At 37.1% G+C, this 10,135-nt stretch overlaps 1 long non-coding RNA gene across 1 annotated transcript; it reads right to left on the bottom strand.

Moving 5' to 3' along the window:
- Positions 1 to 836: 836 nt before the first annotated feature.
- On the bottom strand, positions 837 to 9,523 carry LOC107984187 (uncharacterized). Its single transcript, XR_001747299.1, has 3 exons — positions 9,457 to 9,523; positions 5,384 to 5,463; positions 837 to 1,015 (listed from the first exon to the last, which is right to left on the bottom strand). It is a non-coding gene; the product is annotated as an uncharacterized LOC107984187 (long non-coding RNA).
- Positions 9,524 to 10,135: the final 612 nt, after the last annotated feature.

The raw sequence follows: 10,135 nt of genomic DNA, 5'->3' as shown, positions 1-10,135 counted from the left end.
ACAACCAAACAGGCTTTGTGTGAGCAATAAAGCTTTTTAATCACCTGGGTGCAGGCGTGCTGAGTCCGAAAAAGGAGTCAAAAACAAAGGGAGATAAGGGTGGGGCAGTTTTATAGGATTTGGGTAGGTAGTGGAAAATTACAGTCAAAGGGGTTTTCCTCTTGTGGGCAGGGGCTGGGGTTACAAGGTGCTAGGTGGGGAGCTTCTGATACTCATTGTCCGGGAGAAGGAATGTCACAGGATCAGTTGATCAGTTAGGGTGGGGCAGGAACAAATCACAATGGTGGAATGTCATCAGTCGAGGCAGGAACTGGCTATTTTCACCTCTCCTGTCATTCCTCAGTTGCTCCAGGCCATCTGGATGCATATGTGCAGGCTTGGGCTCAGAGGCCTGACATAAAGGACCATTTTTTAATTTTAATTTTATTTTTTTTCCTTTCACAAAATTTAAATTGTGAGTATTTAAATTTGTGTTCCCATTTGAGATTATGCTTTGAAAATTATTGGGCTTCCATAATAGGTATAGGAGGAAACTTTTCAATTAAAAACTATATTGTAGAATGAAAACATAAGAGAAGCACCTAATTAGATGTCTCCCTAACCCACCACCATTAAACTCCACATATATTCAAAAGGAAATTTTTATATCATCACTAGATGTTTGATGTCAAAACATTAAACATTTTCTCCACATATAACAGAGAGCTATTAGAGGGGTAACTTTAACCAGGGTCTCATTTACACCTCCAACTTGCCAGGAATTAATAGAGAAGATTCTTGGAGAATCTTGGTACAGTTTTTAGTCTTGAGAGGCAAGAGTTAAAGGAGAGGGCAGATGGAAAGAAGGACACTTGAAATCCCCGACAGCACTGCTGTGCTGTCACTCAGGTGAGTAGCTCCTTTGGGGCAGCTCATGTGCGTGGTTGGAACTGCAACCTCAGTCACTGGAAGCAGTCCTAAGCTGGGCATTTCTCTCATGTTGTGGCAGCAGTCGACCAGAAGGGACGCCGTCATCCTAGTCAAACAAAAGAGTTAACTGCAGAAATCAGTAGGCTTAGAGGCTTTTGAACAAGAAAAACCACAGGGGAGGAGCTGCCCACATAGCCTGGCCCCTCAGTATACCATTTCTGGATCTCAGAATTATCCATGTAAATTTGCATCAACCTGCTGTTGAGCTTACTGCCTGATCGAAGTATACTATCAGAAACCAAGCAGTGCTGAGAAAAAAAGAAAGAGAAAAGGAAATGAATGCACCCAATTTGTGGGCAAACACCTAGCTGATCCGGATGGATGTCCCCTCACTACAGTAATCATGTAGACAAATACTGGCTTAATAAATATATATATATAAAATTAATATATATAATTATATATGTATGCATCTCTATATCTGTATCATATCTATATTTATGTGTATATTTTCATGTATATATTTATCTAACTATACCTATATACCTAATTATAAAAATCGTGAACCTTATTCAGTTTTGTGTGCTTAATGAGATTTCTGAAACTAAATTTTATTGGAAAAGGATATGAAACACAATTTTAAGATTACTAATAATTTATACATAGACAAACACATATCAGCATCAGACAAGATGCTCCTGGTTGGCATCCCAGTGATACATATCCTTCCAGAAGGCAAGCAGCCAGTTCATACAAAGTAAGTAGTGCCGTGTATGTTTATGTGTTTATGTGTGTGTGTGTATATACATATAGAGACCACAATTATTTATTGCCCAAATCAGTAATTTACAATTACCTGCAAATTGTATTAGCGTACCTTAACACTGTTTTCTTCTTGAATTGTTCCCTCTTGTAGTTCAGAATTTTTTTAGGGCAAGAAATGGTTTCACAGTACGGTCTCTTGCATTTAGAATTATTCTTGTAGAGATACAAGACAGCATTGCCGTTACAGCTGGCTTTAGTACATTGTTTAGTTTCTATTTGAAAAACAGTGAAGGGCAAGTGGCCAAACACGTTAGCCCCCTCTCTACTGCTGTGTCCACCACATATGGATTTTCCAAAAGCAAAATGTAAATATGATCAATCCTTTAAAGCAGGGCTGGCAAAACTTTTTCCTGTGAAGGGCCAGATAGTAAATGCTTTAGGCTCTGTATGCCATATGGTTTCTATCACAACTATCAATTCTGCCACTGTAGGGCAAACACTGCCACAGACAGCTTGAGTAAGCAAGAATAAGCATGAATTAGCATGACTGTGTGACAAAATCAGGCGGCAGTCCAGATTCATCTCTTGGGCTGTAATTTACCGACACTGAGTTAAGAGAATGTATAGTCCTCATGGTCCAAACTAATTTCAAAAGAGGACATAAGCATATCTGGTATATAATTTCCTGTGCTTTTCTTTATGTTGAATGCTTCAGGATTAAACAGAAGTAAACCAGTTTAATTCAAAGAAAACGAATAATACAGAAATCTATTGTGTCTCTCCACCTTGCCAGTCTAGTCAACAGAGCCCAAATTCTTTTACCCAAAAGCCTTTTGCTGTGTGACTCAAATCCACCTATCCAGCTATCTACACGCTTGCTTGGTCTCCTGACCTGGCCCAGTGTTTTTGAAGGTATATTCCATAGAAGGAATTCCTGAGAGACATTCAAAACAAAGGTGCCCTCTGGTTAAAAAAATCAATTAAAAGTGCAAGCTATAGGTCTCTCTTGGATGTGCATTTTATTTGTCATATTAAAGGCAGTGAGAAATTCTGCAGTAAGTAAACCTATTCAATCTATTACATGGCACTTTGTGTGTCATATAATAGATGCTCAAGAAATGCTATCTGATATTCTGGAAATAAAAGTGAAAAAAATGTAGACAAAGCAAAAAAAAATCAATGTGGAAATCAAGCTTGAAATATTCTCCCAAGAGTATAATAGGGGAGGAAATGAAAAGCGTCTGGTTAGTACCATTAGCCTCTTTCAAAGTAAATGTGTGTGAATCATCTTTAACTCTGTCATGCAATTTTCTTCTTCACACATTGCCCTCATTTTTATCTAAAGAGACTAGCACTTAAAGATAAGTTAATCAGGGGTTCAAGTGTCAAGTGTCAGAAGAATCTTTATGAAAAACACGGAGTTTTTACAACTTACAAGCAGTTTCCAAGATTTGAAACATGACTGGCCTAGCACCAGGATGAAACTCCCTCAGAGGCACGTACTATTCAGGCCATGGGTGAATGCTTCCAGACAGGTGAAAGTCCTCACAGTCCGCTTGTAAGTGGGAGCTAATGGGCTTAGGAAATCTGAAATTAGCTAAGCTGTAATTGTTCAGAACTTTATTATTCTTGTTTACCAGCCCTAGTTAAAAGTATATTGATTCAAATATTCTCTCCAGTTACCTCAGCCTCACTTTACTTTGTAATTCCTTTTTCTCACCCAACAATTTCACCTGTCACTTTTAAACTACTATGTGACAAATACATTCTCTTGGTTTTTTTTGTTTGTTTGTTTTGTTTTGTTTTTGAGAAAGAGTCTTGCTCTGTCACCCAGGCAGGAGTGCAGTGGCACAATCATAGCTCACTACAACCTCTGCCTCCAAAGCTCAAGCTTTGCCAAGTATCTGGGACTATAGGTGCACGCCACCACACCTGGCTAATTTTTTTATTTTTTGTAGAGACAAAGTTTGTCAGTGTTACCCAGGCTGGTCTCGAACTCCTGGGCTCAAGAGATTCTCCTACATCAGCCTCCCAAAGTGCCAGGAATACAGGCATGAGCCACTGTACCAGGCCGTTTTCTTATATTTTCAATCTCTTCATAGAATTTTTCCTCCAACCCCATGCTTTTGCAAAAGATCTTCCATGCCGTTGCTTTTCCTCTCCTGTCCTCTCAAGTAGATTATGTGCATATCACACACCAGAAATCACTCAGGGTAGAGAGGTGAGTTTGGTGTTATGCCATTTTCCTGGCCCTTTCTTTCTTCACACTACATTATATTCTCTATAGCTGAAGGTTCGTGCTAGATTACTAGAGCAGCTGTGGCCTCTCTCTACTGTGGCCATCTATTCACTTCCAGTTCACGTCTCTTGATCTTTTCTCCCTTTGTCCCTGCTCCTCTCAGAGGCTGGAGTAGGTTTACTTCCAGCTTGCTCTCACTGAATCATATAATTTTCCAAAACTAAATCAACATATGATTCTGGGTCTACTGATGTGTATTTTTTAGTAGAATGTGGCTCCTTGAGAGTAATTATTATCTTTTTAATGTCATTATTGTGCCCTAATATTTGGCACTATGCCCCCAAATTTTGCTCTATTAAATATTTGTTGAAGAACAGAGTGATTATAGGATGCTGCAGGACAGGAAGATCCCAGGCTTCCTCTCAAACACATCATTAGTGATGTTGATATTTTTCAGCATAATCTTCAGGTCTCCATTCTAATTGCCAGTAGCTGCTGTGTTTGCTGGGCTTTTGCTCATCTATATTTCTCAGAAAGCTCATTATAATCATTCTTTTTTTTCACTAATTCTCTGGCTCCTGGTTCAAGCTCTGTGCTTTATCTAAGGTGAATTATCAGTAATCAGAAGGTAGGATAAGGAAGAATATTTAGGTGGATAACTATCCATTTCCATTCAGCTTAGACAGGATATGGAACCAAGTAATCTAGAAATTTTTGCTGCCTCTCATTACTATGGAGAAACTTTCAAATTTGCTGCCTACTAATCCCACTTACTTGGAATCATATCATCACACTCCAACCTCAATACCTGGGCTCTGATACCTTCGGTACACTAGGTCACTTCACCTTGAATGTATGGGGTGTTTGAATTTCTGTTTTGGTGCTGGATGAATAATCGATGAATGGTCCCATATTAAGAACTTTGGTTCATAAAGACTGTTTGGTATCTTCCTCAACCTGCTACTGCTGGATAGTCCTCCTAAATCTACATAAGTTCTAGGATCACCCAGGCTACTTTCTAGAAACTTCAAACTCTAATGTCTAATGCTATTTTAATTTGCCCCTGCTCTAATCCCCACATCTGCCTCTTCAATGCTGAGTAATCTTTCTGTAAAGTTACCTAAAGTCCCTACCAAAGCTTACTGTTGATGAAGTCAGCCCACTGAAACATCATTTCTTCCTAAAGGACCAGAGATTTCAATCTATTTTCCTTTTACTTGAATCTTACCTTGATTCTAATGGCCCTGGATTTGGCTGAATTTCAATTAAAATTCTACAGTTGAAAATTCACTCATTTATAATTTTTCCTAAGCTGCTGTAAGTCAATGTAAATTAATCAAATTAAATCAATTCAAACACTCTTAAACTAAAGCTGTTCAAATAAAGAATAATTATAAAATGGCACAAAAAGCCTAAATTACCCTATAGTCCTATCTCCCCAAATGAAATATATGTACTGGGAGCACTTACCCTCTCTAAATATATGGCAATACATGTTTCAATTCCCTTGGCCCATCCTTGACCACACTGGGTCTATCCAGTCATTTTTCCTAGAGAACAATAAGGAAGAAAGTAATGTCTCAAGTTTTTCTTCAAATGAGAAGTTTTCACACACACACCCATTCTTACAGATTTGCTCAGCAAATTGTTTGCCACCCACCCATTCCTAATTTAATATTTGTCATCATTTGATTGAAATATTCTGTTTACAATGCCATCTGCATATGGTACTTTTTTGCTCTTTACACAGTGTTTGTTGTGCATAATGTTGAAGCATGTTTTTCTATCCATATCACATGAGAAACCAATGGATATACTGAGAAACCGTACTTGCTAATGAAATTGTCCCTTTGCACCCCCTGAGCTGCAGATCAGATTTTCCCCCAATCCCTTTATGAATCATTTTTCTCTAACTTATTACATTCAGGGGGACTCTCCTCTGGAATTCAATGAACTCAGTCACACATTCACACTCTGTGCCACCCCAGACATACCTGTTGTTCGATAAAATTCCCCCTGAAAAATTTGTTCACTTATTCCCGAACAGCACACACTTACATTCCAGAACTGGCTAGGACATAAATATGTACCACTTATATTCTTAAAGAGCACCACTTGTGAAATAAGGGCTTTAAATCATTGTCAAGAGGAAGAAGCTTCTATTTTAAAGCCAAACATTTAACTGCTTACTGTATATAAGCATTCTATGTAGCTTACGTGATGACAAAACCTTTTATAGTAGTGTGTAGAGGTTGGTATATTTAAAAATCTATTCAATAGAAATGTTTCTGGACAAGTCATAAGAGAGACAGAACTAAACAAAATAAAAAATCTGATAGGAAGACCTTGGACACATATGGAATGTGGTAAATCTTATACATTGCATCCCAACACAGGGGCAAAGTCAGTGTTTTATATATATAAAGCCACATTAATTTGAAATTAGGTCTGGTTTTGAATTGTAGCTCTAGCTAATTAATGATGTGACTTTGGGAAGATAATTTAACTGCTTTGACCTGTAAAAGAAGGAAAGATAAGTCTGCAAAAAGTGTGTAACAGAGTTGATTCAGCTACCAAAAAAAAAAAATTCTGTGAACAAATCTAGCCGAGTAGTTAGCACATATCAGATGATCAATCACCATGGGCTTTTCATAGGACATTAATTGCAAGAAGAAAATCCTTGAATATATTTCTTAGAAGGCATCCTTATTTGGGAGAGAGTCATTAAAATGGATAAAATAAGTATATGAGAAACATAAGCAGAGAAATATGAATTTATGAAAATGATGCCTATATATATATTTCTGAAGCCAGTGTAAACAGAGATAAATTTCCAGTTCTTCCTACAAAATAGTCATCAGCTCAGAAACTATGGGATAGTAGATACAGCAAAACGCATGGAACAAGGAAGCTTGACTATGTCCTAGATGTAATCTGAACCTCCATTTCCTTATCTGTAACATATCTAACTCACTGTTGTCTTGACTAGGAGTTAAAGGTACCGAATAATAGGTGATAATGGTTGCAAACCATCAAGTTCTGAACTATGCAAGTTATCACTTAGTCAATCCATCAACAAGCATTTAGCAAGTTCCTCTTTAGAATTTAATTTAATTCTAGGCTTAGTTCTGTTGAGGATTTAGGTGAAAATGCCACCAAGGTAAAGATTCTGTAATTTTAGCATATGTTTTCCATTGGGACATATGATTAGTCAAAAGTTATATAAAATGTAAAGCATTTATTAGTCTAGCTAGAACCGGGCCAAACAGCTGACACGTAAGAAGGGGAGTAGTCACTCAAGGCTGAAGTATGTCGATGTGTCCCCACCCCTGTCAGATGCTTCAATATGAACTGCTCATTGCAGGTTACAAATAAAATATTTTTTCATATCAATTTTTCAATGAAGAATTCACACTTTGCCACCTCAGTTTTGTGTCTAATCCACCCCTCATCCACACTGATCATAATTTTGTATAAACAGCTTCAACTCTTTCAAAATACTTTAACGTTTTTTCTTTTTCCAAATAAAATGAATGCTATTCAGAAGTTCCAGACTATCACTTCTATAAAGGGCTAGTGACATTTCTTTCCTATTACAGTCAGCTATTTGCTGTTGATTTGAGTGACAGCAAAAGAACATCAAGGAACGAGGTAATTTTGGTCACATTTGCCTCCTTTACAGATCCTAAAGCCAACTTTATAAACCTAAGCTAAACATTTGTTTCAATGCTTTGTAAAAGACCTTACACATCTTCTTCTAACGGCACCAGGCCCTTGAGAGAGTTTTTAATCATCTCCTTGAATTCCTACATAAAACTTGACAGCAACTTCTAAGGAAACCAAAAACACACAGACAATATTTAAAACAAAACTAGATACCAAGGTATCCCCATGCCCTGCAAAGCACACCAATAGCCACAAAATAGACATTATAGCCACTCTTTATGTGGCAAGACAAAGGAAGCAATGAGAGTGGCCTCTATTGGAACTGAGAACAGAAAAAAACTCCAAAGAACCAACAGATGTTCTCTGTGAAACTTAAAGGCAAACTGGAGAACAGCATCTGAAACTGGGAATAAGTTTTCCCTCCATAGAACCAGTGAGTGTGAGGGGCCCAAAGGAAGAAAAACTAAAGAATTGGAGCAGGCCATGCCCCAAGAACTCCCCACAGAGACTCTCCAGCCTTCCCTTTTAGGACGGCTCCCTCACTGAGCAGAGACTTTTGGGAGCTGAATCAAGAGAGCAGGAGAGGACAAGAGAAAGGAAAACATGAGGTCTACACAAAAGTGGGCAAAGGAAACACAACCAGGAAATTCCAAAAATTCAAGACACTGAAGAGGGAGTTCCGCAAAGTTAGAAAAGCTTTCCTGAAACTTGTCTCATTCTAAAAAGTTAAATCAGAGAAGTTAATTTCACAGAAAAACACAAAAGTCTCACATTATAGACAGAAGTTTATTTCTCTCTCTTGTAAAAGAACAAAGATAACAACAACAGAAAACACACTTATATTTGGAGCAACAAAGAAGTGTCAAGGTTAAATCTGAATCAAAGTTATTACAAGAAAAAAACGTGAGAACCAGGAGCTGGAGAAGTGCCCTATAGACGATGAGTGCAAGATGAGCCCACCAAACAAACCAAAAATGTAACCTACTATTTCAAAATGAGCTAAAAGACATTGAGAAGATATAAGACATGAAATAAAAATATGAATCAAAATGAATGAAACTCAGAAATAAGATCACCAAATGCTGGAAAGTATAATAAATAAATATCAGAAATTAAGACTAAACCTGAAAGAATAAAACACAATTTTTTTAAAAAAGATTATGTCTTAAGAAATGGAAGATGAAAAAGCAAAAAAAAAATGCATTAAAAATATGAAGAGATAAAAAGGAATTGAGACAGTGACGGATATTGACAGTAAGCAAAAGAGGCTGCCATAGGAATGGTATGAGTCTCTGAACACAAAGTCAAAGCAAGGGAAAAGTAACCTTGGCTTAAATTTTTAAAAAACAAAAAGGAAAGAAATAGAGAAAAAATCATCTAAAATCGCACATTAAAAAACTAGCACATACTTGAGACACCTGAGGATATCCACCTAGAAATACCCAATATCAAGGCATATTTTAATAAGATTACTGGATTTTTAAAAAATTTCATTTGGACATATAGGAAACAAAGCTTCTGAAATAGAAATGAAGTAAAATTAGATATACAATAAAATTTTCAACAACATTTTATACCAGAAGAAAATAAAGGGACTTATTTAAGATATGTAAAATTATAAATATGACTTTTAATTTACAAAGAGAACAAACTGGCAGCATTATGCAAAAACTCTGAGAACATTGTTGCTATGAGTCCTTCCTCAAGAATCTTCTGGAAAATGAACTTCAAATGACCATATTGACTAAAGAGGTATCATCTCAAAAAAAAAAAAATGGTGGTAAGCATTAGATATAGTTTCTCATAAAATTAAGAACAAAACCAAATACCTTAAGAGGGCACATTTCTAATATATAAATATTAAAAATCACTCTCACCTCTATTCCCCACCTGATACTCTCAAAATCTTAATCTTTTGAAAAACTTCCATTCACCTCCTGTTCCTCCACATCCACATCACCAGTGTCTTCCTATAGAGATGTCAACCTTTGTAGTCACCTGTCACAGCTCCCCAGGCTTCAGGATGTAAAAAGAAATCTAACTAAACAAAACAAAATAAAAAACAAACAAAGCTACAGCTGGCTGAAACTGCAATCAAAATTCCTTTACTCAAGGTCTTCCCATTACAAAGGGAGTATGAGATCAGATTCATTTAGCCTCTTGCTTCCTGGATCATACTCAAGCAATCCATTGGCATGGTTTTCTATGGCAGCTGTTCTTCAAAAATGAAAACCATCAATTTTGCCATCTTAGCATTTACCTAGGCCTTTCAGGTAATAGCACAGCTCAGATACAAATACTCACAGACTGGTGAGTTTTCTGCTCTCAACTTTTTAGTATTAAGGAAGACTAGTAAGTAAAACTCCATAATTCAGAGGTTAAAATTTATCAACAGTGCTAGTTATGGCAACCTAGAGATAAAATAGAAAAATATGTGAAGTGAAGGCTGGGATTAGTGGCTCACACTTGCAATCCCAGCATTTTGGGAGGCTGAGGTGGGAGGATTCCTTGAACCCAGGAGTTGGAGACCAGCCTGGACAAAATAGAGGCACTCTG

The sequence above is a fragment of the Homo sapiens genome, chromosome 10, assembly GCF_000001405.40.
Source record: "Homo sapiens chromosome 10, GRCh38.p14 Primary Assembly".
Lineage (NCBI taxonomy): Eukaryota > Metazoa > Chordata > Mammalia > Primates > Hominidae > Homo > Homo sapiens.
Note: the sequence above shows the minus strand (reverse complement) of the source record. Positions and strands in the feature narration are given on the sequence as shown.